The 27,491-nt window shown below is 37.1% G+C and overlaps 1 long non-coding RNA gene across 2 annotated transcripts; it reads right to left on the minus strand.

Annotated features, from left to right (window-relative positions):
- On the minus strand, positions 1 to 27,491 carry LOC105374276 (uncharacterized). Of its 2 annotated transcripts, none has more exons than XR_924826.2 (4): positions 27,389 to 27,491; positions 5,937 to 6,048; positions 1,672 to 1,754; positions 1 to 158 (listed from the first exon to the last, which is right to left on the minus strand). It is a non-coding gene; the product is annotated as an uncharacterized LOC105374276 (long non-coding RNA). The 2 variants fall into 2 exon arrangements; XR_924825.2 differs by having other exon boundaries at positions 1,649 to 1,754.

The following is a 27,491-nucleotide window of genomic DNA, read 5'->3' on the forward strand; positions in this document are numbered from 1 at the left end:
TTAAAGTAATAATTAAGCTTTAATCAGTAATTGCGATTTTATAAGTAAGAGTTCAAAACCCAGAGAAAGCACCAACTCACTCTGGTTTCATTATCCTCCAGGGACAGGCACACTGATTGAAGGTCAGGTAAATCAGCACAGATGTGGAAGCAGTCTCACTGTTGAAGGAACCCCAAACAAAAGATCTAGCAGATTTATGGGCACTCGTGTCTAGGAAGGACAAGGGGGAAGGGCTAGCGTGAAAAGTACTGAGTACTCAGTCAGAGTGGGGAAAGGTGTCCTCAAGGTTTCTCTTTCCTCCTTTCCTCCTCTCATAAGGAATCCTCAGCAGAGGCACTTAAAAAAGACCTCTGCTAAAGTCTTCAGGTAAAGAGATGCAGGAATGAAGGTGCCAGGGCTAGAAATGTAAACATGTGATGAAAATGACTAACTGGGGGGCCTAAGTCCTTGACTGCAACTCCCTTCAGAGACTGCCAAGGATTGTCTGTACACCGTTTGGTGTGCAGAGGACAGGTTTTGCCCCCTGAGGTGGCTGAAGTAAAGCATTTGTAACTGTGTACAGTTGGGACTGAAAAATCACAAGATTTGTAGCTGGGAGCCAGACTTCACAGTTAATGTGACATTATGTAGACATTCCATCCGAGGATTGAGAACCATGTACAGTTGATCTTCATTATTTACAGATTCTGTATTTGTGAATCCATCTACTTGCTAAAATTTATTTGTAACTCCCAAATAAATACTTATGATATTTTCATGGTCTTTCATGGACATCTACACAGCAGCCAAAATTTTGAGTTATTTAATGTGCACGTACCCAACTTTGATCTAACAATCCAATATTCCGCATTCTTGTTTTGACACTCCGACTATAGACAAGTGTCCTTCTCATGTTCTACTTAGTGACATGTTTTTTGAGATTTTGTGTTTTTGGTTATTTTGCTGTTTAAAATGACCCTCAAGTGTACTTACTGACTAGTGTTTCTAAACACAAGAGGGATGTGTTGTACCTGATGGAGAAAATACATGTTAAATAATCTTCATTCAAGCATGAGTTACAGTGCTGTTGCACATGAGAAAAATGTTACTAAATCAACAATATATATTAAATGAGATGTCTTTAAACAGTTACACACATAAAAGAAGGTTATTTATTGATCAATTAACAAAAATATTGTGCACAAGAACCTAACCCTGTACTTCTCCTAGGAGCAGTGGTTCAATAAATGCTAATTCAATGACCAGGGTAACTTTATAGATTGTAACTACTATGAATAATGAGAATTAACTGTGTATGCACAGTCAAGGTATTTCATTATAATAGCAGGTACTGTGAAACCTTAAAAAAATACTAGAACTGAAAAGACATATATTTTTATTATTTTTGTTTTTCCCTATTGCACTTTTTCCTTTAGAAAGAGCAGTCTAACTTATTGGTGATGTATTTCTCCTTAGAAGTGTGGGTGTTGAATAGAGGAATGCAAGGTAACAAGTTGTTATTCACGAAAACAGGAAACTGAATACTGCATGTTCTCACTTATAAATGGGATCTAAACATTGGGTACACATAGACATCAAGATGGGAACAATGGATGCTGGGGACAACTTGAGTGGCGAGGGAGGGAGTGGGATAAGGGCTGAAAAGTACCTGTTGAGTACTATGCTCACTACCTTGGTGACAGGATCGGTTGTACCCGAAACCTCAGCATCTCTCAATATACCCATATAACAAGGCTTCACATGTAAACCTGAATCTATAATAAAATTTGAAATTTAAAGAAAAAGAAAAGTGATTAAGTCTATAAACTTTTAAGTGTCAACAAGAAAAAGATGTTAGAGATTATTCTGGTTATGGGATCATATAAGACTGTTTTTGCTATTTAGACTCTTGGATGAGCTGTGATTCTGTCTCTTTCTGAGGCTTAAGTTTGTGTTTAAGCCTCATTGACTATGGTGTTTAAGTTAGTCAGAATTTATGTTGCTGAGAAGAAAAGATATAATAATAAAGAAAATGTCAATAAAGGGTGAGGTGCAAGTAGTAGACTCTGGGAAATGTAAAGTGCTTGGAAATGGTATTCCAGATCAAATATTGTATGAGGCAATATCTCTTTTTCCTATTTCACAGTAGAAATCTACCACTCTATAGTATGTAATGGCAAAATAGCTATTATGTAAGTAATCATTTGTGGACTCTGAGTCATAAGCTCACTAATACTCAGGTTCAGTATCTGAAACCCTGAAGATCATATCATGAAATAAATGAAGGAAAGTATAAATTTTATGGTATAATTTGTTAATTATTACAAGTAGATCCATTCCCACAATGAGTTCATAGAAATATTTATCATCTATAAATTTTATTCTTTTGCTATTCACATTTAAGTTTGTAATTTATCAGGTATTGACTTTTACATATTGTGTAATACTAGGGTTCCAATTTTATTTTTCGTTTCCAAATATATATATAAATAAGCATGTCAGCATCATTTACTGAAATATCCATCTTGTTTCTACTGACCAGGAATGTTGTCTCTGACATAAATTAAGGTTATACATGTGTTTGGGATCTTTTTGTGGTCTATAGTCTATCTTATTGGCTTTATTTTCTATCCCTGCAATTCACATAATCCTTTTCTCTCTTCATTTCTCTTTTTGTGTAAATTAAATAATTTTACTATTCCACTTTTGTCTAATACTGATAAATTTCACACTGTATTCCAATTTCTTTAGAAAATTATGTCACATGTTTTAATCTGTATACTTAAATTATACAATTAACTATTGTCTTTACCTTTTTCTCCCAAAATACAAAGATATTAGAGGAGTTTAACTTGAACTGTAGCTTTACTGACTTAAGTGCTATTATTATCATCTGTTTTAGTTTTATCTTTTCTAAAACCCCAAGAGGTTGTTGTTGTTGTTGTTGTTGTTGTTGTTAGTATCATTAGTATTAGTGTTATTACTTTACACATTCATTCCTGGTTTTTATGTTCACACATGCTTACCATTTTCCTTGCATTTTATTTCCTTTGCAGATCAAACTTTCTATCCGTGAACTCTTTCTTCTATGCAAAATTGAAGCTCTGACCCCACATTTTTCTTCTGCACTGCCCTAGCAGAGGTTCTCCACAAGGGCCCCCACTGCTGCAGCAAACTTCTGCCTGGGCATTCAGGCATTTCCATACATCCTCTGAAATCTAGCTGGAGGTTCCCAAAACTCAATTCTTGATTTCTGTGCACCCACAGGCTCAACACCATGTGGAAGCTACCAAGGTTTGCCCCCACTGAAGCAACAGCTTGGGCTTGGCCCCTTTTAGCCATGGCTGGAGTGGCTGGGATGCAGGGCACCAAGTCCCTAGGCTGAATAGAGTAGAGAGGCCCTGGGCCTGGCCCATGAAACCATTTTTTTCCTTCTAGGCCTCTAGGCCTGTGATGGGAAGGGCTGCTCTGAAAGTCTCTGACATGCTCTGGAGACATTTTCCCTATTATCTTGGTGATAACCATTTGGCTCCTTGTTACTTTTGCAAATTTCTGCAGCTGACTTGAATTTCTCCTTAGAAAATGGGTTTGTCTTTTTTATTGCATAATCAGGCTGCAAATTTTTCAACTTTTATGCTCTGTTTCTTTTTTAAAACTGAATGCTTTTAACAGCACCCACGTCACATCTTGAATGCTTTGCTGCTTAGAAATTATTTCCACTACATACCCTAAACCATCTCCCTCAAGTTCAAAGTTTCAGAAATGTCTAGGGCAGGGGCGAAATGCTGCTGGTCTCTTTGCTAAAACATAGCAAGAGCCACCTTTACTCCAGTTCCCAACAAGTTTCTCATCTCCATCTGAGACCACCTTAACCTGGATTTAATTGTCCACATTTTGGTCAAAGCCATTCAACAAGTCTCTAGGAAGTTCCAAACTTTCCCACATCTTCCTGTCTTCTTCTAAGCCCTACAAACTGTTCCAACCTCTGCCTATTACCCAGTTCTAAAGTCACTTCCACATTTTCAGGTATCTTTACTGCAGCATCCCACTCTACTGGTACCAATTTACTGTATTAGTCTGTTATCATGTTGCTAATAAAGACATACCTGAGACTGGGTAATTTATAAAAGAAAGAGGTTTAATGGACTCACAGTTCCATATGGCTGGGGAGCCCTCACAATCATTGCACAAGGCATGGAGGAACAAGTCATGTCTTACATGGATGGCAGCAAGCAAAGAGAAGGAGCTTGTTCAGGGGAACTCCTCTTTATAAAACCATCAGATCTCATGAGACTTACTATCACAAGAACAGCATGAGAGAGACCCACCCCATGATTCAATTATCTCCTACTTGGTCCCTCCCACAACATGTGAGAATTGTGGGAGCTACAATTCAAGATGAGATTTGGGTCAGGACACAGCCAAATCATATCAGACACAGAAAGGGACTATATATTTATTTTGGCTGGAATGATTGACTCTGATGATTATAAAGAGAAAGGTTTGCAGATATGAAATGAGGGCAAAGAAGAGTATGGATGAAACCTATCTAATCTTTAAGACTACTCTTTTTTATACCATTCTAGAGGGTAAAGTTTAATAGAAACTGCTACATATTTATTTGTGTGATCATCAAACAACCAGATTCCTCAGAAAAGAAGATTTGGTGCATCAGAGTGGAGACAAATTACCCTGACTAGGGGAAGGGATCATGGAAGACATTGTGGAAAAGAGGCTGTGGAAAAATAAATACCAGTTCTATCCTTAGGATTAGTTATTGAAAGAACTTTACCGATTTCCTTCTTTACCTATTCAAATGTATTTGCCTAGTTTTAATGATTTCTCAATTTTTTTATCCCTAATATATATATATGAACAAATAAGCAATAGGCTCCCTATAGTTTTAGAGTAAGAGTTGGCATTCTGATGAAACAAGGGGAAGAGTAAACATCTATAGGAGATCCAGAACATTAAGCAAAAATAAGTCATGAAACTGCTTGTTTTCTCTTGAAGAAAGCTTGAAGGAGTTTACAGGTAGACATGGCAGTTGTATTTTGTTAGACAGGGATTATTTGGAGGATCCTATATTCATTGGACAAAAGATCTATGTAGATTTGGTGTAACAGGAATGATTAGACTGATTATTTGTTAAATTTTGTCTGCCCAGTATCCATTTCTCTTTTTTGAATAATAGCACCAAAATTTTTTGGGGATTGGGGAAAGGTCATTATCTCCTATTGGGTGCAAACTTGGAAGGCAGTTAATTAAGTTGGCCTGCTCTTTCCTAGCCAAGAGTTGACCACATTATCCAATTAACCAATTAAGTAAATTAACACATCTCTGGAGTTTGTTATTGTCAGCAGAATGACATAAGAAAATAAAAATGGCTAAACCTCATTTATTCTGCATGTAATATCCTGATGAGATGGTTTATAAGTTCCTGCTACTTCTGTCTTTAAGAACTATAATAATTTCTAAATTAGAATTTCTAGACTTCCCTTTGATTCTGTGAACACTTATGCTTACAATAACTTTTTTACTGCTTAACTTAGCCAGCCAGTTTTTATGGTTTGCAAAAAAAAAACCACATCTAATTTGTTAAGCAACAGATTTTTTTGAACAGTCATGTCTTTTTAGTATACTACCTATGAAGACATTATTGACAGCTTCATGCATATTCCATTTTATTTTTCTAGATATAAATATTTTCTTTCCTGATATTACATTGGCAAAGACATCCTGGAAATCAGAATTCAGCTTTAAATTATATTCAAGATTATTTACTTAAACAATTGTTTCTTGAAATATTTTTCTTAAATGAATAAAGAGGAAAAATAAATAAATAAATCATCACCACCTCCTTGTCCGCCAAAAAAATAGGAAATTGTGAAAACTTTTTACCCACTATACAAAGTTGCCTAATAACTAAAAGCAAGTGTAAAGATGGACAACTTTACCTTGAGAAAGCCTTCTGTCTAGACTTGGTTTGCCATTAAACATATGTGAATGTAGGCAACAAACACACCAATGAAACTGAGACCTCCACTTTGGATTTCCTTTTACTCATCTCTAAAATAAGGAAGTTAATATTAGTTAGTCATTCAAATATTTAAAAAATTCTACAATAAATATTTGATATGTTTCCAATGATAAATAGGAAATATTTTTAAAGGCAACATTAAACTCAGCTTTTTGTAATAGATATTTAATAAAGACATAACTCTTAAAGATATTAACTTGTACAGCAGACAAATATTTGAGCAACAAATAAAAATTTTTAAGTAATATAATAAGATAGGATTTAACAAAATTAATGAGAGTGCCAGTGAGAATCCTCACTAAAATAACTGGAAAATAGTCTTCAAAGGCACACAAAAGACATCTGACAATTAAAAATAATGATGAACAGGCCGGGCGCGGTGGCTCACGCCTGTAATCCCAGCACTTTGGGAGGCCGAGGCGGGCGGATCACGAGGTCAGGAGATCGAGACCATCCCGGCTAAAAAACGGTGAAACCCCGTCTCTACTAAAAATACAAAAAATTAGCCGGGCGTAGTGGCGGGCGCCTGTAGTCCCAGCTACTTGGGAGGCTGAGGCAGGAGAATGGCGTGAACCCGGGAGGTGGAGCTTGCAGTGAGCCGAGATCCCGCCACTGCACTCCAGCCTGGGCGACAGAGCGAGACTCCGTCTCAAAAAAAAAAAAAAAAAAAAAAAAATAATGATGAACAACGTGTTGATCAGATTGGTTTTTGCAAAAGATTAATAAGCTTTGTAGCTTAATTACTTTATTCTCCTCTGAATTAGCAACCACATAGAAGCTTTTATAAATCTGTATTCAAAATTATTTTCTATTAGTTTCAACTCTAATTTTAATCAATTTGCCATATTTTTTCATTTCATTTACTTTTTAAATTTAAGAGTGTTAGTGTGCTTTTATAAAACCAGGATGAACTTATTTGGTGTTTATTAATGGTTAATCTTATTTGTTTAGAGGTGTTTTTTTTTCCTGTACATACCTCCTATAGTATTTGTAAGTTTTTTAAAAGGATAATTAAATACGTTTTCTGTTAACTTGCCTTTAACTGGGGTTTCTTAGACCTTGCATTGGTCTCTTTTGGTTTCAAGCAGGGAAACTACCTGTAGTACCACAAACAGAGCATATAATGTGACAGTATGATGACAATGTGAATAAAAACCCTCAAGGATGCAGGAATATCCATATAACTAGGCCTTTTGAAAACTGAAATGATATTTGGAAAGTGGAAGTATATAATGAGCTTTTATTGAACATTTTTTGTCTGTGTATAACAACTTCAGTATCTCAGGGCCTTACCACCCCAAATATTTACTCTACTTGTTCACAGTTCTGTGGGACTGTTCAGCTGTAACTGATTATGGCTGAGCTTCTTGCATACTGAGTTCCCTTTGGCTTTATGAGTTTTCTAAAACATACTCTTCTCATGGTAGATCTTACTATCACAAGAGGACAAGTGGAGCCACACACATCATGTCTATTCCCATTTCATTAGCTGAAGAAAGTCAGTGGCCAATTTCACAAATTAGGGAAGGGAAGTATATTTCTAAAGGGTTGAGTGACAGGGTGGAATATACACTGAACAATAATTCAGTCTATCACATGGCTCTGGGAACTTACTGCCTATTTAATAGCAAGAGCTCTTTTATTCTTTTTTCTCTTAATATCTCTTAGCAGCATTCTTTGACTCTGTCCATGTATCTCTATAGTATCTTTCTTATAGCTTCTCTTCCTTGTACCTAATTACTTGTTCATTTATTTTCAAGTTCACAGTTTCCCTAATGGAGACTTTAGGAAGAACTCTCAAATCATTATGTTTGGTCTTTCTTTAGCTTTGGCCACAAGGATATCTCACAACCCACAGGCCAGACTAAACATTGGTGTACATTAAGTGAAATGCCTGGCCTTACCCAGTGAATTCTAATCAGTAGAGGCAGTGAGTCATATGATGCAGAATATGGCCAGTCCTTCTCCAGGTACTAAGACCAATGCTCACAGAAGGGATGTATGGGCAGGACAGTTTATCTTAGGACTTTGGGTATATTAGACATTGTAAATGAATTGATCACTGTACACCCAACCAATGTTCAGTAGATTCTGTTCCCTCAGGAGCTAGTTTCCTTATATTATTTTTTTAAGGAAGATATTAATTTAACATTTTGTTCTTTTTTCCTCCTAATCCATAATCGATGTAAAAGTTGTGAAGACCAAATAGTTACAAGGCACAGGTATAATTACGTCTCCCAAATAGACTGTATATTTTGATGAAATAGAACATTTTGATATTACTTAATTTACAATGCCTCTTCCTTAGGCTATTTAAAAGAAGTTAAGTAAAATAAGAAACTATTTCAAAATTATCTTTCTCAATGTGTACAACAGATGTTCTTAACTCTTATCCATCCTTGGAAACTCTCACAGTTTTCATCTTCCCCATCTCTTTTCCAATTCTTGTTATTTGCCACACTCACAGTCCTTACCTTTGGATTGCATTAAGCTCAGGAATGAGGTGGGGTTCTAAGAATAGTTGAAAGAACTATTGTATAGTAAAACAAATGCTGTAAGTTTAATAATTTTGGGGAGAACATGTAAGAACATTTTCTATATCAAAGTGCCACACATCCCAATAGAGTCACTGAATAAAATTATCTTAATAGAAAAAGAAAATAAAGCTACAATATTTTAAAATTAATTTTCTCTTTCTTGTGCTTTAATGAATAATTTCAACAGAAAAAGAGTTATAATGTTCTAACAGGTATAAAATGTATTTAGTTACTGTATTAATCCATTCTCGTGCTGCTAATAAAGACATACCCAAGACTAGGTAGTTTATAAAGGAAAGATGTTTAATGGACTCACAGTTTCACATGGCTGGGGAGGCCTCACAATCGTGGCAGAAGGTGAAGGAGGAGCAAAGGTGCATTTTACATGGCAGCAGGCAAGAGAGCATGTGCAGGGTAACTGCCCTTTATAAAACCATCACATATTGTGAGACTTATTCACTATCATAAGAACAGAATGGGAAAACCCCACCTCATGATTCAGTTGCCTCCAACTGGGTCTTTCCCACAACATGTGGGGATTGCAGGAACTATGTTCAAGATGAGATTTGGATTGGGACACATAGCCAAACCATATCATTCTGCCCCTGGCCCCCCCAAATATCATGTTCTCACATTTCAAAACCATACTTTCACAACAGTCCCCCAAAATTCTTAACTCATTTCAGCATTAACTCAAAAGTCCAGTCCAAACTTTCATCTGAGACAAGACAAGTCCCTTCTACCTATGGGACTGTAAAACCAAAAGCAAGTTAGTTACTTCCTAGATACAATGTGGGTAGAGATATTGGATAAATACACCTATTAAAGATGGAAGAAATTTGCCAAAACAAAATAGTTAATGGCCCTGTGCAAGTCCAAAATCCAGAAGGGCAGTCAAACCTTAAAGCCTCAAAATGATCTCCTGTGACTCCATGTCTCATATCCAGGTCATGCTGATTGAAGAGGTGGGTTCCCATGGTTTTGGGAAGCTCTGCTACTGTGGCTTTGCAGGATACAGCCTCCCTCCTGGCTGCTTTCATGGCCTGGCATTGAGTGTCTGTGGCTTTTCCAGGAGCATGGTGCAAGCTGTCGGTAGATCTACCATTCTGGGGTCTGGAGGACAGTGCCCCTCTTCTCAAAGATCCACTAGGCATTGCCCCCTTGGGGACTCTGTGGGGGCTTCAACCCCACATTTCCCTTCTGCACTGCCCTAGCAGAGGTTCTCCATGAGGGCTCTGCCCCTGCAGCAGACTTCTGCCTGGGCATCTAGGCATTTCCATGCATCCTCTGAAATCTAGGTGGAGGTTCCCAAACATCAATTTTTGACTTCTGTGCACCCACAGGCCCAACACCACATGTATGTTGCCAAGACTTGGGGCTTGCACCCTCTGAAGCAACAGCCTGAGCTATACATTGGCCTCTTTTAGCCATGGCTAGATCTGAAGCAGCTGGGATGCAGGGCACTATGTCCTGATGCTGCATAGAACAGGGAGGTCTGGGCCTGGACCCAGAAACCATTTTTCCCTCCTAAGCCTCCAGGCCTGTGATGGGAGGGGCTGCCATGAAGGTCTCTGACATGCCCTGTAGACATTTTTCTCATTGTCTTGGTGACTAACATTTTGATCTTTGTTATTTATTCATATTTCCGCAGCAGGCTTGAATTTCTCCCCAGAAAATGGGTTTTTCTTTTCTATTGTGTCATCAGGCTGCAAATTTTCCAGAATTTTATTCTCTGTTTCCTCTTGAACACTTTGCTGCTTAGAAATTTCTTCTGCCAGATACCCTAAATTATCTCTTTTAAGTTCAAAGTTCCACAGACCTCTAGGGTAGGGGCAAAAAGCTGCCAGTCTCTTTGCATGGCAAGGGTGACCTTTACTCCAGTTTCCAACAAGTTCTTTATCTTCATCTGAGACCACCTTAGCCTGGACTTCATTGTTCATATCACTATCAGCACTTTGGTTAAAGCCATTCAACAAGTCTCCAGGAAGTTCAAAACTTTCCCACAGCTACCTGTCTTCTGAGCCCCCCAAGTCTCCATGAAGATCCAAACCTTCTCACATTTTTCTGTCTTTTTCTGAGCCCTCCAGACTATTCTAACCACTGTCTATTGCCCAGTTCAAAGTCGCTTCCACATTTTGGGGTATTTTTACAGCAGCACCCAATTCTACCAGTACAATTTACTATATTAATCTGTTCTCACACTGCTAATAAAAACATACCAGAGACAGGGTGATTTATAAAGGAAAATGTTTAATTGACTCACAGTTCCACATGGCTAGGGAGGCCTCACAATCATGGCAGAAGGCAGAGGAGCAAAGGCATGCCTAACATGGTGGCAGACAAGACAATGTGTGCAAGGAAACTGCCCTTTTTAAAACCATCAGATCTCATGAGACTTATTCATTATCAAGAGTACAGCATGGGAAAAACCTACCACCATGATTCAGTTACCTCCCACCAGGTCCTTTCACACCACATGGGGATTATGGGACCTACAATTCAAGATGAGATTTCGGTAGGGACACAGATAAACCATATCAATTACAAACTGCAGAAATGTAAACCCTATTGTGTAAAGAAATTAGGCTTGTTTATATTTCTAAGTAATCAAAATCCAGAAATAGACTCCCCAAGGGTCATGTGATGAGTCCACAATCACAACAGCATCCCGCACTGCTTCTCTCATTCTTCTCTGTCACCTTGTTCATGGGCTTGTTGTTTCATGGCTATTGGATGGCTCTTCTAACTCCAGCATTATGTTATGGTTCCAGTCAGGAATAAGAGGGAAACTGATTACTTCCATGAGGAAGGCTTCCGTCAGCAACATCTACTCATAACTGATTGGCCAAAAGAGTGACTGACCTACAAAAAGACTTGAGAAATATAGTTCCTAATTGAGATTGCTTCCCCATCAAAGTTAGTATTCTCTTTTGCAAATAAAAAGAAATAATGGGTAATTAGTAGGTAACTAATAATGTCTGCCACAGATAATAAAATCAGAGTTGGGGGCAAAGGAAAGGATGCAAAAGTGATGAGATTCTCAGGTAAGAAAAACAAAAACCATCAGGTCAATTTTTAAAATTTGTTGAAGCTATACAGGATGACTCATTAATAAATGAATAAGCTCCTTTCCAACAGCCTTGCTGTGCCACAGTCTATACATGGAAATAATACAGTGTAGTGACTAAGAGCAAGACTTCCCGTGTTTGGTTTTTATCTCCTCTTACAAACAGTGTGACCTTGGTGAAAGTACTGTAACATCTCTGTGTTTCAGATTCCCTATGATTAAAATGGGGAAAATAGTTGCATCTACTCCACAGAATTCTAGTGAGGGATACAAACACGGACAGGCACACACACACACACATAATCTCTTATAACCACACCCACACACAAACATATGCACATATATGGTGTCTAGAAGGGTATCTGGGAAATAGTAGACACTATGATAATATTGCATTATAATTATTATTACTCTTTGCTGTAATACATAAATATGCAATTAATCAGGTCAAAAGACAAATATGATTTATTAAATTTGTCATTTAAAAAAAGTAAATTTAGTGGTTACTCTTGAGATTGTTTACAACCCAAATTGTATAATGTAGGTGTGAAATGTAGGTTTTTTTCTTTACAGTTCTCTTTGTAGGATATGTCACATCCTGAAGCTATAATAACAAGATAGGGCCTTTGGCAATCCAAAACAAGGCAAAGAATATTTTTTTAATGTAATATCATATAATTTCCAGCCTTGGTAGAGGTTGGTCTTTCCAGTAAAAATGCCAATAAAAGCATTGCATATCAGTATTGGAGAAATCAGCTAAATATATATATCTAGAGCATAATTTGTAGTATTTACTATAATTGCTAAGAAAAGAGGATACTTACTTTTATGTAAATAAGTTTAATAATCAACTAAAAATGTTACAACAGTATTTTCACAATAAACATTAAAACCAGAAATAAAAGCACAAGTAAGAGAAAATGACGAAGCCACAGAAGAATTGATATATTCAGTACCTATTTATTTAAAAAGAGCAGAAACAGGCAAATATTTAAGAGGATATAATAAGTAAAGAAAAAAATGCACAGATAAGAAAACATATTACCAATTAAAAAATAGGCTAAGCAACAGAAAGAGAAGTGTTTGTTCCCACTTAAATAAAAAACACCATGAAAAATTATATGATAGTAATTTTGAAAATTTGATTAAATTATGAATTCACATAACATCAGCTCCAATTCATTAGGAAGACAAGCCAAGGAAGGCCCTTTCTTAATATAAGTTAAATGTGTAAAACAATATTCAGCTGGTATGAGTCAGATGGCATAACTTAACTAAGACTATGCAAGGAAATAAAATTATAGATAAATGTCCCTTATGATAGTAATTATAAAAGATTCAACATTACTTAGCAAACAATTTTATCTTTGTGTACAAATATAACCAATATGCTTTTATTCTAGGTATGTAAGAAAAATTCAATATCAGAAAATAGGAAAACAGTTTGTGATCATATCAGTGTACATAGGAAAGCAGTCCATTAAACTTAATACTTCTGTGTAATAAAAATTCTAAAAATGGAAGTCAGACCTCACAATTAATATAGATATTAAAATCTATGGCAAAAACTCTTTTCAAATTAGAAACTAGGTAATAAACTGCTGTTACTAATTCCATTCAGCATTGCACAGGAGATTCTAACCATAATAGTAAAATAGAAAAAAAGAATTAAAAGGTATAAAGTTAGGCAAGAAAGGCAAAACTGGTTATGATACAATTTTCATATTGAACCTTATCAATTATCTACTAGTTATTAGAACTAAAAGGAAAGTTAAGAGAGTTTCTAGAATAATAATCAATGTACCAAAACTAATAACGTTTATATATATATACTAGTAATAATTATTTAGAAATAGAATATATATGCCATTAAAAATAGCAATTAAATTTATAAATATCTTAGAAAATATTTCTAAAGAGCTGCAATCAGATTTGGAGAATATTACAAAACATTATTAAATGACATAAAAAGTCAGAGTATTAAAGAGATAAACAATAAAGATCACATATTTTGCATTTGAAGATTCCATTTCCTAAAGGAGCCATTTTCCCTAAATGAATCTAGACATGCAATCAAATTTCAATACGAATTATGGCAAGATTTTTGTAAAACTTAATAAGCTGATTGTGGAAAAAATTTTAAAATAGCTAAGACAATTTTGAAGAAGAAAAGGTAGGGAGTACTTTCTCTACTCAATATCTAAAGTAATTGACAGGCTATCATACTTGAGACCATGTTGTAATATTACAGAGATAAACAGTGCAATGGTATAGAACAGAAAAACTGAAGTAAAGGCACACACACACACACATATATATATATATATATACATGACATTTTTACATAAAGGTGGTTCCATTAAATATTAGTGAGATAAAATAAACTGATAAAAAATTAAGTCATCAGATTCAAATTTAGTGAATTTATAAATTTTGTTTTATGCGTACTTCAGTTGCATAATTCCTTTTGGTTTCTTTCCAGGATTTTTATTCTCTTATTTAAATTTCCATTTTGTTTACAGTTTTTTTTTAATTTCTCCATATTTTCCTTTAGTATTTGAGCATCTTTAAGAAAGTTGTTTTAAATCTTTGTCTAGTAGATCTGCTGCCAGGTGTTTTGTGGGGACATTTTCTGGATTTTTTTCCCATTGAATTGGCCATTGTTTACTATTTTGCAATATGCCCTGTGACATTTTTATTGCAAACTAGTCATCTGAAACTATTAGTGTGGCAATTCTGGAAGTCAGATTCTCCTCTTATTCCAGAGCGTTTTTTTTTTTTTTTCAATTGTTGTAGGCTACCTCTGTGCAAGTGATTAGAGTAAGATGTAAACTGAATATAGTCCACAAAAATTTTCCTAATCTCCCTAGAGAGGTTGACATGCAAATCCAGTAAGTATGGAGAAACCCAGACAGATACTATATAAGATGAGCATCCCCAAGGCACACAGTCATCAGATTCACCAAGGTCAATGCAAAAGAAAAAGTGAAGGAGAAATAAAGTCTTACTCAGAAAAGCAAATGCAGAGAGAATACATTTCAAATAGGCACTATCATGCAACTACACAATCAAGTCTACATAACAACCAGCTAACAACATTATGACAGGACCAAAATTCCATATATCAATACTAACCTTGAAAGTAGATGAGCTAAATGCCTCACTTAAAAGATACAGAGTGGCAAACTGGATAAAAAGAAAAGACCCATCAACCTGCTGTCTTCAAGAGACCTAACTCACGTGTAATGACACCCACAGACCAAAACAAAAGAATGGAAAAGATTTACCATGCAAACAGAAAACAAAACAAAAAAAGAGCAGGGGTCACTATTCTTACATGAGATAAAACAGATTTAAAACAAATAAAAATTAAGAAAGACCAGGCATGGTGGCTCACACATGTAATCTCAACACATTGGAAGGCTGATGTTGGAAGACTGCTTGAGCCCAGGAGTTCAAGACCAGCCTGGACAACATAGTGAGACCTCATCTAAAAAAAAAAAAAAACCAGACATGGTCCATGTGCCTGTGGTCCCAGCTACTCAGGAGGCTGAGCTGAAAAGATTGCTTGAGCCTGGGAGGTTGAGGCTGGAGTTATCCTGCCACTGCACTCCAGCCTAGGCACCAGAGTGAGACTCGATTTGAAAAAAAAAAAAAAAACGGAGGACAATGAAGGTCATTACATAATGATAAAGAGTATAATCCACCAAGAAGCCTTAAATATCCTAAATATACACACACTCAGCATTGGAGCATATGGACTCATAAAACAAGTTCTTCTTGGCCTACAAAGGACTTAGACAACTACAGAATAATAATGGGAGTCTTCAATACTGCATTTACAGCATTACAAAGATTATAGGGGCAGAACACTAACAAAGAAACTCTGAACTTAAATGCTACACTTGGCCAGTTGGATCTAATGGACATCTACAAAACACTCCACTCAACAAACATAGAATACACATTCCTCTCACATGCACACAGAATATATTTTAAGATGAACTCACATGCTCAGTCATAAAGCAAGTCTCAATAAATTCAAAAAAATTGAGATCATACCAGCACACTCTTGGCCCACAGTGCAATAAAAATAGAAATCAGTATAAAGAAAATCTTTCAAAACTACACAACACATGAAAATTAAACAAATAGCTCCTGAATAACTTATGGGCAAGCATCAAAATTGAGGCAGATATCAAAACATTCTTTTAAGTTAATAAAAATAAAAACACAACTTACCAAAATCTCTGGGATGCAGGTGAAGCAGTGTTAAAAGTTTATAGCCCTAAATGGCCTTATCAAAAAGTTAGAAAGATCTCAAATTGTCCACTAACCCTATAACCAAAGGAATTGGACAAAAGAAATATAAACCCACCTCAAAGCTACCAGAAGAAAAGAAATAACTAAAATTAGAGAAGAGCTTAATGAAATTGATATGCTAAAATCCATACAAAAGATCAATGAAATCAAAAGTTGGTTTCTTAAAAAATAGATTGATAGACCATTAGCTACATTAACAAAGAAAAAGAAAGAGAAGATTCAAATAAGTATAATCAGAAACAACAAAGATGATATTGCAACTGATCCCACAAAAATACAAATGTTTCTCAGAGTACTACGAACAATTTATGCACAAAAATTAGATAACCTAGAGGAGATGAGTAAATTCCTGGAACCACACCATCTCACAAGATTGAATCTGGAAGAGGCTGAAACCCTGAATAGACCAATGTAAACTTCTGAAATTGAATCAGTAATAAAAAACATACCAACCAAAAAAAGTCATGGACCAGATGGATGCACAGCTGAATTCTACGAGCCATATAACATATAAAGATGAACTGATATAAGTTATACTGAAACTTGAAACTATTCCAAAAAATCAAGGATGAAGGGTTCCAGCCTAATTCATTCTATGAAGCAAGCAACAGCCTGATACCAAAACCTGGCGGAGACATAATGATCAAAGAAAACCAGGTCAATATACGTGGTGAACGTAGATGCAAAAGTCCTCAACAAAATATTAGCAAACCGAATCCAGTAACACATCAAAAAGCTAATACATCATGTTCACTAGGCTTTATCCCTGGGATGCTAGGCTAGTTCATTTGCATTTCTTGATATGCAAATCAATAAATGTGATGCACTACATAATCAGAATTAAAAGCAAAAAACGTATAATCATCTCAATAGATACAGAAAAAGTTTCTGATAAAATCTAAAATCCCTTCATGATAAAAACCTCAACAGACTAGGCATCATAGGGACATATCTCAAAATAACAATAGCCATCTATCATAAACCCACAGCCAACATCATACTGAATTGGCACAAGGTTGAATAATTCCCCCTGAGAACTGGAATAAGACAAGGAAGCCTACTCTCACTACTCCTATTCAGCATAATACTAGAAGTCCTAGCCAGAGAAATCAGGCAAGAGAAAGACATAAAAGACCTCCAGATAGGAAAAGAAGATGTCAAAGTATCTCTGGTCACTGACAATATGATTTTGCACTTAGAAAACCATAAAGACTTTGGCAAAAGGCTCCTACAATTGGTAAATGACTTTCATAAAGTTTCAGGATCAATGTACAAAAATCAGTAGCATTTCCATACACCAACAATATCCAAGCTGAGAGTGAAATCAGCAGCACGATCCCACTTACAATAGCCACAAAGAAAACAAAATACTTTGGAATACAGCTAACAAAGGAGGTGAAATATCTCTACAAGAAGGCCTACAAAAGATTTCTGAAAGAAATCAGAGATAAAAACAAATAATGGAAAAACAGTCCATGCTCATGGATTGAAACAAACAATATTATTAAAATGGCCATACTGCCTAAAGTAATTTATGGATTCAATGATATTTCTATCAAACTACTGATGTCATTTTTTACAGAATTAGAGAAAAACTATTCTAAAATTCATATGGAAGGAAAACGGAGCTTGAATAGCCAAAGCAATTCTAAGCAAAAAGAGCAAAGCCAGAGGTATCACATTAACCAACTTTAAGCTATACAATAAGGCTATAGCAACCAAAACACCATGATACTGGTGCAAAACCGAACAATCAAACAAAGGAACTGAAGGGAAAACTAAGAAATGAAGCCTTATACTTAAAGCCGTCTAAACTTCAACAATGCTGACAAAAACAAGCAATGGGAAAAGGGCTCCAAATTCAACAAATGGTGCTAAGATAACTGGTTAACCATATACTGAAGACTGAAGCTGAACCTCTACCATATGCAAAAATTAACTCAAGATGGATTAAAGATTTAAATGTAAGACCTCAAACTTTAAAAATCCTAGAAGATGATCTAAGAAATATCCTTTTTGACATTGGACTTAGCAAATAATTTTTGGCTAGGTCTCCAAAAGCAATTGCAACAAAAACAAAAATTGACAAGTGGAACCTAATTAAATTTAAGAGCTTCTGCACATCAAGAGAAACTATCAATAAACTAAACAGACAATGTACACAATGGGAGAATCTATTCACAAGCTATGCATCCAGTACAGTCCTAATATCCAGAATCTCTAGGAAACTTAAACAATTCAAGAAAAATAAAATAACCCCATTAAAAATGGGCAAAGGACATGAATAGACACTTCTCAAAAGAAGCCATACAAGTGGCCAATGAATATATAAAAAATGCCCAGCATCACTAATCATCAGAGAAATGCCAATGAAAACTACAATGAGATGCCATCTCACCTTAGTCAGAGTAGCTATTCTTCAAAAGTCAGAAATCATAAGGCGCTGGCAAGGCTGTGGAGAAAAGGGAGAATTTATACACTGTTGGTGGGAATGTAAACTAGTTCAATCACTGTGGAAAGCAGTCAAGAGATTTCCCAAAGAATGTGATAGAACTATAATTCAACCCAGCAATCCTATTACTGGGTATATACCCAAAGGAAAATAATCATTCTACCAAAAAAATGCATGCACTTATATGTTCATCACTGTGCTATTCACAATAGCAATTACATGAAATCAACCAACGTGCCCATTACTGGTAGACTGGCTAATGAAAATGTGGTATATATACACCATGAAATGCTATGCATCCATAAAAAGAATGAAATCACGTCCTTTGCAGCAACATGCATATAGTTGGATGACATGATCCTAAGTGAATTAATGCATAAACAGAAAATAAAATACCACGTGTTCTTACCTATAAGTGGGAGCTAAACAGTGAGTACACATGGACATAAATATGGGGAAAAAATAGACATGAAGATTTACCAGCAGGGAGAAGGGAAAAGGGGAGTGTGGATTTTAAAATTACCTATTGGGTACTATGCTCATGACTTGGGTGACAGGATTTGCACCCCAAACCTTAGCATCACTTAATATTCCCATGTAGCAAACCTGCACATGTACTCTGCTATCTGAAATAAAAGTTGAAATTAAGAAAAAAATAAATACAGCACTTTACAATAAAATTCTGAGTTCCACATATCAAAAAAAGGAAATTAATGGAAAGAAAGGGATACAGGCAGTTTTAAAGGAGCACTGGTTTGCTGTGTTAGTAAAGTTCATGCATTATAAATTTAAATTAGAGTGTTGTTTTAGAATATTAAATGGAATTACTTTGTTAGTCACAAAGAAAAAAAATAAACACCAAAAGAAATAGGAAGAAAATGTAAATATTTCACTAGTTTTTTAAAAATGAACTAATCATAAAAGAAGACAGTAATGCAAGAAATAAGGAACAAAATTATTGTAAAACATATAGAAAGCTAATATCAAAATAACAGAAGTCTTTTTTTTATCAGTAATCACTTTATAAATGGATAAAGTTCTCTGATAAAGAGACTGAGATTAGCAGAATAAATAAAAAAATGTTAATCCAACTATATGCTGTCTACAAGAAACTTACTTTAGATCCAAGGAAACAGAGGTTGAAAGTAAAAGTGTGGAGAAGTATATTCCTTACAAATAGTAACCAAAAGACAGAAGACTCTATTTGACATCAGAAAAATAAATTTTATATCAAAAAAGGAAAAACAAAGAAAGATACTTTATATTCACAAAAGTTTCAATACAATGAGATGTAAGAATTTACATTTACACACCTAATATCAGATCATTTAAATATAGGAAACAAAATTAGAAAAAATTGAAGGAAGAGATAGTTCTACCATAAGGTTTGAGACTTCAATATCTCACTCTCAATAATGAACAGAACAATCAGATAAAAGGTAAGAAGAGAAGTAGAATACTTGAACAACACAATAAACCAACTAGAACCAAGAGACGTTACAAAAAACACTCTATCAAGCAAGAGAATGCACATTTTTTTGAGTGCACATTAGACACAAGGCAAATTTTCCAGATAGACTCTATATTAGGCCACCAATTGTGTCTCAGTGGATTTTAAAAGATAGCTGTCATTCAGAATATCTTCTTTGACTACAACAGGATGAATTTAGAAAATAATAACAGAAGGAAAACTGGAATATTCAATAAAATTGGAATTAAACACAGTCTTACAAGAGAAGCTCAGTTTCTCCAGAGCTTAATTGTGAGCAACCACAGGCTACCACACTAGGGGTAAAGCACAACCAAAGTGTGAGTTACTGTCATCAAAGCTAAGGTGCCAGCTACTGCAGTATGGACTCAAGGGCAAGTGCCACCCGGGCTCAGGAATGAGTGACATAAACATTCCCCACCCAGTAGCTTAGATTGCCCACCACTAAAGGTGACATTACCTTCCGTAGTGGCAAGAAAGCAGCATGGCCACTCCATTTCCCAACCCTATCATTCCTCTAGTGGCTAGGGATCACCATTCACTTGCCTTCCATGGCTGGTTCCTGAATTCACCATTGGGGGACTTGAGGACAAGCCATCCTAGCCTGGGTTCACCCCTACCCCATGCCAGCATACACAGACTAGGGGCCAGGGGACTGCCCATCCCAGTCAACCAATATTGGCACCTGCACACTCATTCCAGGGGCATGAAGTTAGGCCTACCCACCCAACTTCTACTGCCACAGCTGGCACCTACCTGCATGCACTACCTGTGGACTTAGAGAGTGACCTGCCCAGCCTGTCACAGCCACTGCCAATATCAGTGCACACAACTCAGGATCCATGATGTCATCCTGCTACTGCTACTGTCATCACTCCTGCCATGCCAGTGCCCAGAGTCCCAAGAACCTATTCCCCACGCCAAGAACCTACTACTGGTATCTGAGTAAGCCATCTGGAGGCCCAAGGGTCAGCCTGCCTGGACTCACACTAGTGCCAGCATATGCAACCTGGGGCCCAAGGACAGGCACACTTAGCCCACTATTGCCACCACTGAGGCCTGAAAACTGACTTACATGGCATCCTAGTCCCTAGAAAAACTTCACCACCGGTTCCACTAATAACTACAGGCTAAGCCACTAAGGAAAGCACAGACACTACTGATACTGTTTACAGCCAAAGAAATCATGCAGAGGCTACACTACTGCACACACCCAGAATCAGAGCCAAAATTTCCTATTCTATCAATTCTATAGAGAAATCTTCAGGGAAAAGTCCTCTCCTGTGAAAGCAAATTCAAAAACTTTGAAGTGACTGTTAAACCAAATGTGTACATAGAATGCAAGGGCACAGGAAACATGAAAAAGCAAAGGAATATGACAAAAAAGGAAGACAACAATTCTCCAGCAATGGATCCCAATAAAAAAAAAGAATTCATGAAATCCTCCCCAAAAGAATTCAAGTTATTGATTCAAAGGAAGCTCAGTGTGATATAACAGAATTCTGAAAACAATGCAAATAATTTTTTAAATGTCTGGTATGAATGAGAAATGTAACAAGAAGGTAAATATCATTAAAAAGAATCAAACAATTCTGGAACAGAGGAATTAATTGAATGAAGCACAAAATGCATTCAAAAGCTTCAATAATAGACTGCATCAAGCAGAAGAAATAATTGCAGAATGTGAAGATAGGTTTTTTTAAATAACCTAGTTAGACAAAAATAAGGAAAAAAGAATTTAAAAAATGAGCATAGCCTTTCTGACATACGGGACACCATAAAGTGCCAACAAAAACAACAATAAAACTACAGGCCAATATTCCTGATGAATATAGATGCAAAAATCCTCAAAAAAAATACTAGCAAACCAAATTCAGCAGAATATAAAAAGGATTATCAACCATGACCAATTCAAATTTATTCCTGGAATGCAAGGATGGTTCAGCATGTGACAGTCAAGCAATGTAATACACCACATTAACAGAATAAAGAACAACCATATGGTCTCTTCAATTGATGAAGAAAAAAACCCGTATGATAGAATTTAACATGTTTTCATGATAAAAACGCCTAACACTGGGAATAGAAGAAAATTACCTTGACATAATGAAAACCATGTATGAAATGCCCACAATAAACATCATACTCAAGGGCAAAATACTAAAGATACTCTAAGATCAAGAACAAGGCAAGGATTACTGCTTTTACTACTTCTATTCCTAGTAATCAAAGTCCTGGCCAGAGCAATTCTATAAGAAAAAGAAATAAAATGTCTTCAAATTGGGAATGAATAAATAAAGTTATCTCTGTTCACAGATCGTATAGTGTTATATGTAAATAACCTTAGTAGTCCTACCAAAAACACTGTTAGAACTAATAGATGAATTCAACAATGTAACAGGATATACAGTTATTACAAAGAAATTACATACATATTTATACATTAACAATGAATGAATAATTCAAAAAGTAAATTAAGAAAATAATTCCATTTACAGCAGCATCCAAAAAAATAAAATATTTTGGAATTAATTTAATCAAGAAAGTAGAAGACTTACTAATTTCTGAAAGAAATTAAAGATACAGATAAATGGAAAAACACCCAATGTTCATGAATTGCAATACTTAATATTGTTGAGAGGTTAATAAAAATCTATACATTTACTATAATTTCTATCAAAATCCCAGTGATTTTGTTTGTTTATTTTTGCAGAAAGAGAAACATTCATTCTAAAATTCACATGAGATCTGAAGCAACCCCCAATAGCCAAAACAATTCTGTAAAAGAAGATTAAACTGGGAGAACTTACTTGCTGATTTCAAAATATACTACAAAGCTACAGTAATCAAAACTGTGGTATGGACATAACAACAGGCATATAGGCCAATCATATATAATACAGAGTCCAGAAATAAACCCCTGAATGTATGGTCAAATGATTTTTGGCAAGGATGTCTGGATCATTCAATTGAGAAAAGAACAGTCTTTTCAACAAAGGGTGCTGGAAAAATTAGATATCTACATATAGAGAATGAAGCTGTGACATTACCTGACACCATATGTAAAAATTAAACCAGAAAAATTCCCTAATTGTAAGACCTGATAAAACTCTTTAAAAACAGCATAGGCCAAAAGTTTTACAACATTGTATTTGGCAATGATTTGTTGAATATAACACCAAAGAGACAGGCAATGAAAGAAAATCAAATGGACAAAAATACACTAACAAGATCCAAGGAGAGGTTACAGCACCTGAGTGTAACACAGGAGCAAGAACAGAGGCATGGAGCGTATAGGAAGGATAGTTTTACATTATCTACATCATCCTTACCCCAATCCTGGGCAGCATAGCAGAAAGAGAGGTACCCTCTGTATGGGGAAAGAAGAGGGAAGTAAACACTGAATTTTGCCATGGACGAATAACAGGGCAGATCACAGTAAAAACCAGGGCTAAGCAAAACCCATAGCCCCAGACTCCAGACTGAGCCTCCAGGCCTGCCCCAGTAACAAACTGAATTATTCAGCCTATGTTGGTGACTCGTTCTCTGGGCCATCCCACTGCCAGCTTGACTTCATTGGCCCCTTTCTCAGAACAGCCCCCACCATCCAAGAGACCAGAGCAGCCCCAGGCTGTGGACAATCCCTAGAACCAGGATGAAGCCCAGAGCAACAGGTTTAAATTCCAGGAATGCCTGTTGAACTTAGTCTCTGGACGTGACCCCAAATCAGGCTGACACCAGTGCCCTCAGACCCTAGACCAACCCCAGTGTTAGACAGGCCCCAGTTTCCATAAATGCCAGAACCACCACAGCACCATGCCAGCCTCAAGAATCAGGTTCCAGGCCCACTTCAGCACCAGGCCAGCCCCAGTGGCCCTAGTCTTCAGAACTTCCTTAGCACTGGTGCAACTCATACAGCCCTAGCCATCAAGCTGGAACTTATAGATCTTGAAGACACAACATTTAGGATAACCCAGAGACAATCGAGCCCCTGCAGCCCCAGGTTTCAGGTCTATACCAGCTGTAGGTCAGAATTTCTAGTCTCAAACACCAGGTGGGCACCTGTAGACAGATACTCCAGGCCTGCCTAGTGTGCAGCCAGTCTCTGTGGCCCCAACTTCTAGGCCAGCCCCTATTGCATCCCACTCCAGCAGACCCAAGTCCAAGCCTGTTCCAGTAGCCCCAGTACTATACCAGTCCCCACAAACCCAGACTTCAAGATTGGCCCTATTCAGGCCAACCCTCATAGATCTATCCCCTAGGCCAGCAACTGCACACTCAGCATCCAGGATTGCACCAGTGATCACAGGCTACAGGCCAGTTTCCACAGCCTCAAGCTCAAGGGCAGATCTACTAGCTCCAGTTACCAGGCCAGCAGCCATGATTTTATGCTCCAGACAAGTCCCTGGGGACCCAAACTCCATGCTAGCACCACCACTAGGCTGGTGTCAAGCTCTAAAGGACCCAGGTTTCAGAAATGCTGCAGAAGAACTAGGTTCCAGGGCCACACAGTAGACCCTGGCATAGGTCAGACCTGTGGAATGTTGCTCCAAGACCAACTCACAGAATAAGCCTCTGGATCAACTCTTGCGGACCCAGGACCCACCACAACAGACACAGGTTTCAGGTTTCAGGCCCACTGTATTAGTCTGGTCTTAAATTGATATAAACAACTACCTGAGACCAAATAATTTATTTTTTTAAAAAAAGAGGTTTAATTGACTCCTGGTTCCACAGGCTGTACAGGAAGCATGGCTAGGGAGGCCTCAGGAAACTTATAATTATGGTAGAAGGCAAAGGGGAAGCAAGCATGTCTTACATGGCAGGAGAAGGAGAAAGAATAAAGGAGGAGGTGCTACACACTTTTAAACAATGAGAGCTCGTGAGAACTCACTATTACAATAACAGCAAGGGGGAAATCCACCCCGATAATCCAATCACCTCCCACCAGGCCATCCTCCAACACTGGCAATGACAATCTGAGGACTAAGCTCTGATTTTTTATCTTGCCCAAACTCCTACCTAAGGGGTCTAGAGAGTCATGCCCTACAAACCATAAATTCTCATCAGATGGATTTTATTTGACCCTATATATAGTGACTTACTTTTCAATCTAACTCTGGCATAATATTATGAGACAAGGAAAAAGTATTTAACCCTAAAATATATTTCCTTGCCATACCTTGAAATTGCCCTGCAAAGTCTCTTGTGAGAAAAATCTACATCCTACAGAGAAACCCCTTTCTCCTTTGTTCCCAGATACAGGAGATAATCAGCTAAGAGCCAGGCACACTTTTAGGTCCAATAAGAAACATTTTACAGCCTGCTCTTTCTCTGAAGTCTGCTCTCTTAGAAATTCATCTGCACAATAAAACTTGGTCTCTACAGTCCTTTATCTTAACCTGAACATTCCTTTCCATTGAGCCCAGATCTTCAGATAAGCTCAACCAACCGTCAACCAGAAAATGTTTAAATTTACCTATAGCCTGGGAGCCCCCACTTTGAGTTGTCCCACCTTTCTGAATCAAGCCAATGTATTTCTTAAATGTATTTGATTGAAGCCTCATGCCTCCCTAAAATATATAAAACCAAGCTGTACCCTGATCACTTTGGGCACATGTTCCCAGGCCCTCCTGAGGGCTGTGTCACAGGCCATGGTCACTCACATTAGGCTCAGAATAAATCTCTTAAAATATTTTACAGAGTTTGACTCTTTTTGTTGACAATCTGACATGAGATTTACGTAGGGATACAAATCTAAACAATATCACCAACCTTAGTGCTAGATCAGCTTCTGTGGGCCCAGGCTATAGATTGTTCCAGACAGATCCAATCCATCGGTCCACCTCAGTGGATTCAGGATTCAGTCTCAACCTCAAGTGCCTAGGCACCAAACTCAACTACCACTAACCCAGATACTAAGCCAGTCAGGCTGAGGACTCCAGCAGTAAGCTCACCATTAACTATGCCAGATGGCCTCCCCAGAAATTTGGAGTGAACTGACTCATGAATGTCTTTCCCATATGAAGCCAGTTTGCAAAGATAAAAATAAGTTCTTATCTCTCAAATGCACAACAATCAATAAAAGACAACAAGATATATTTAAAAATCAAGGAGACATGACATCACCAAAAAAAAAGAATAATCTTTCAGTACCTGACGCTAAAGAAAGGGGGATATACAAACTGCCTGATAAAGAATTCAAAATGATTGCTTTAAGAAAGCACATCAAACTTTAAGAAAGTACAGAGAGGCCAGGCACGGTGGCTCATGCTTGTAATCCCCGCACTTTGGGAGGCTGAGGCAAGTGGATCACTTGAGGTCAGGAGTTCAAGACCACCCTGGCCAACATGGTGAAATGCCATCTACACTAAAACTACAAAAATTAACTGGGCATGGTGGCACGCCTGCCTGTAATCCCAGCTACTCAGAAGGCTCTGGCACGAGAATTGCTTGAACTGGAGCAGAAGTTGCAGTGAGCCAAGATCGTGCCACTGCACTCCAGCCTGGGTGATAGAGTGAGACTCAGTCTCAAAAAAAAAAAAAAAAAAAAAAAGTACAGAAAAACAATTCATTAAAATCAGGGGTAAAAAAATGACCAAAACAAAAAACTTAAGGGATGAAAATAATTTTAAAAACATACTATCAACAGAGTAAAAAGGCAGCACACAGAATGGAATGAAGTATTTGAAAGCCATATATCTGATAAGTATAGAATATATAAAGAACTAAAACTGTACACAACCGCAACAACAAAAACTTGATTCAAAAGTGGGAAAAAAGACTTGAGTAAACATTTTTCCAAAAAAAGTATACAAATGGCTACTAAGCACATGCAAAGAGTACTAATCCTTAGGGAAATGCAAATTAAAACTTCAATGGGACACCACCTGGCATCCATTAATATGGCTACTATCACAAAAAAAGTAGGAGGGGAAAGCAGAGCAAGATGGCCAAAGAGAAGCCTCCAGCAGTCATCCTTCTTGCAGAAACACCTAACTGAATATCCAGACAGAAAAGGACACCTTTATAAGAACTAAAAATCTGGCAAGCAATCACACTACCTGGGTTTAACATTGTATTAAGAAAGAGGCACTGAAGAGGATAGGAAAGACTGTATTGAATTGCCGACATAGCTCCTCCCTGCTCCCACAGCATCAGCCACATGGCACTGAGAAAGAATCTGATAACTTGAGAAAGGATACTGCAGTAATTGTGGAACTTTGCACTGGAAATTGGTGCTGCCTGTCACAGTAAATAGCAACATGGGACAGAACACAGCTCACCCCATTGGGGAAGCATTTAGACCAGCCCTACCCAGAGGCAATTTATTCATCCCAGTACTCAGAAGTTCAGTTCCAGCAGAGCTCACCACTGTGCGTTAAAGTACTCTGGGTCTTAAATAAACTAGAAAGGTATTCTAGGCCACAAAGAGTGTAATTCCTGGACAAGTCCTGGTGCTATGCTGGGCTTGGGTCAGTGGTCTTCTGCGGCACATTACCTAGTGAGACACCAGCTGGAGTGGCCAAGGGAGTGCTTGCTTCACAGCTACCCGAACCCCAGACAATGCAGCTCGTGACTTCAGGAGAGACTTCTTCCTTAAG

Source organism: Homo sapiens, chromosome 3 (genome assembly GCF_000001405.40).
Source record: "Homo sapiens chromosome 3, GRCh38.p14 Primary Assembly".
NCBI classification, from domain to species: Eukaryota; Metazoa; Chordata; class Mammalia; order Primates; family Hominidae; genus Homo; species Homo sapiens.